This window comes from Homo sapiens, chromosome 5 (genome assembly GCF_000001405.40).
Source record: "Homo sapiens chromosome 5, GRCh38.p14 Primary Assembly".
NCBI classification, from domain to species: Eukaryota; Metazoa; Chordata; class Mammalia; order Primates; family Hominidae; genus Homo; species Homo sapiens.
Genome location: NC_000005.10, coordinates 105,504,975 through 105,507,323, shown reverse-complemented (window position 1 = coordinate 105,507,323; position 2,349 = coordinate 105,504,975). Strand labels below are relative to the sequence as shown.

Genomic DNA, 2,349 nt, shown 5'->3' with positions numbered 1-2,349 from the left:
ACTAGAAAATAGACCCTTGGAGCTGGATTTTGTAGTTGGGTTGCTTTTCAGTTTGAATGCAGTTGAAATCACATTGTTCTTGGTAAAAGGAAGGTCATGATCCTGATATGCAGTGACATCATTATGATATAGATGTGAAAAATATGTAGTGAGAGATAAGTGGCTGCTACTTGTAACTTGCCTGGCACAATTATAATTTCAAAGACACAGATGTAGAGTGACATTTTCTGATGGCAATGAAAGTCTTCAAAAGACAGTGACAGGTAAATGGCAGCTGCTGTCAACTTAAAGGCATACAGTGAAAGCTGGAGGGCTTCTGTGGCAGCTTAAAGGAGAGTCACATAAAGGAGAGCCACATCTCGTTGCTGTCTCTGAGCAACTGTACTCCTGGAGTGCTACCAGGCCCTAACAGAGACTGAGCAGCTGAACATGGGACACCTAGTGGCTGTGGGCAGGAGCAGCCAATGATCAGCTTGTTCTCAGATGAATTGAGTCAGATATTTTGCAGGAGTAGAAACAGCAACAATCCATTAGAAAATAGAAATGGAACATGAGGGATCAGACTCAAGTCTGTCCAGATAGCATGAAAAAATTAGATGAATCAATGTCCTGGATTCTCTTGTCACCTACGTGTATTGCTCCCTGAACAAACACTGGCCTCTTAGGACATCCTCTATGATCAACTGCACTGGAGGAAGGGACTTGGGCCAGGCTCACAGATGAATAGATGCAATATGTTGGTGCCACCAAAGAAAAGGCTGCTGGTATATTAAGCTGCACTCATTGCCATGTAGGGTGGCAGTGAGAGAAAATCCTCCAAATTGCAGAGCTGGCAGCAGTACACTGGGTCACCCAGCTAATATGGAGAGAGGTGGCCTGAGGTAGAGATAAGGACTGACTCCTCAGCTGTGATGGATAACTGAGGAAATTTGTCAGAAGCATAGAAAAATAACACTAGAAGCTCAGGGAATGTATCCCTGATACATACATGTGTGGATAAACTTGAAAATGGGAACAACCTGTACTGATCTTTATGTCTTATTTTAGTGGCCACAAGTGAGCATTTATGAAAACCTAAAAACCAGGTAGACAGGAAGACTCATCTAATGGACATCAAACGTCCTTCCACCTTGGCTATCCATGAAGAAATATATGGATTATCCTACCAATAGAGTCCTCTTTAGCAAGATTGAGGTAGTTGTTTTCACTACTGAATTCCCAAGTAACTGGAATTGGAAACTAATTTTTCCCCCTTGAGGCTTTCTCAGCAACACCTGCTACTCATCTTGGGGCAGAACAGTTACTTTGAATCTCTTCCATTCTGGAGTATATCCTTATTGAAATAACTATCTACTCTAGTTTTGGGCTATTCTTCTGTGACTTTGAAACATTGAGCAGTATTACCATTAGAAGGTTTTACACCATGACAGACACATCCATATTATATCCCATAGAAAACTGCCTCAGATCAAAGGGCTTGTTAATGGCAAAGGAGAAGCAATAGTTGACTCACAATATGAGATTTACTGATTTTACCACATTACACTAAATCCCAGAAACAGGTGGCTTGAACAAATGATGAAATGGCCTGTTGATGGTACAGCTAAGATTCCAACCTCAGGTAACACTTTGCCTTTTTAGAGTATAGTCATAGAGATTGTGGTATATGAACTCACTCAATAGCAAATGCATAGAGCTATGTGTTCTCAAAAGCAAGAAACACTAGCTTGATGATCAAGGAATACAATTAACATTGCCTCTTCCTATCATCACACTTTGTCACTTGGTCTCTTTGAAATGTAAGCTCTGCTAAATTAGAAGTTCTGATTCACAAGTGTGGGTAGTATATTTCTACTGCAAGACACAGTAAGAATTCTACTAATTGGAAAATTTCACTGTTAACTGACTACTTTTGAAGTTTTTATCCTATTGAGTTATCGGACAATGATATGAGTAGTAGAACTGGCTAGAGAAATCAATCCTCATTATCAAGAGAAACTGGTTGCCCATGCAAAATTAATCAGAAAAGAGTGTTCCTGGAGTCCATTGGACTTACTTGGAATATGATCAGTGATTAATCTAAATAGGGAGCTATAAAAACTGTGTATCTTTAACAGAGTTAAGAGTTTGGAATATTTGGGGAAGGATCACTAGAACACTTGGCAGGTAAGCAACCTAGAACACATGAAAATCTGGAGAAATGTAATTAAACTCTAGAATAAGTGATAAAAATGGGAAGTGAAAAATATCAATTTTGCTTCACAGTCACCTGCAGCATGAGGATAATAGATTTGTTTGCTAACACTCCTTGAATGCAATTTTTGGTGATTGCAACTACCCTTCACCTTG

At 39.6% G+C, this 2,349-nt stretch overlaps 1 annotated feature.

Annotated features, from left to right (window-relative positions):
• Positions 282–576: an enhancer, noted in NCBI's record as "tiled region #1662; HepG2 Activating non-DNase unmatched - State 12:CtcfO, and K562 Activating non-DNase unmatched - State 13:Ctcf". NCBI's record gives its function as "activates a minimal TATA promoter and a strong SV40 promoter by Sharpr-MPRA in K562 cells, with weaker activity in HepG2 cells {active_cell/tissue: K562 | HepG2}" and the evidence as "EXISTENCE:reporter gene assay evidence [ECO:0000049][PMID:27701403]".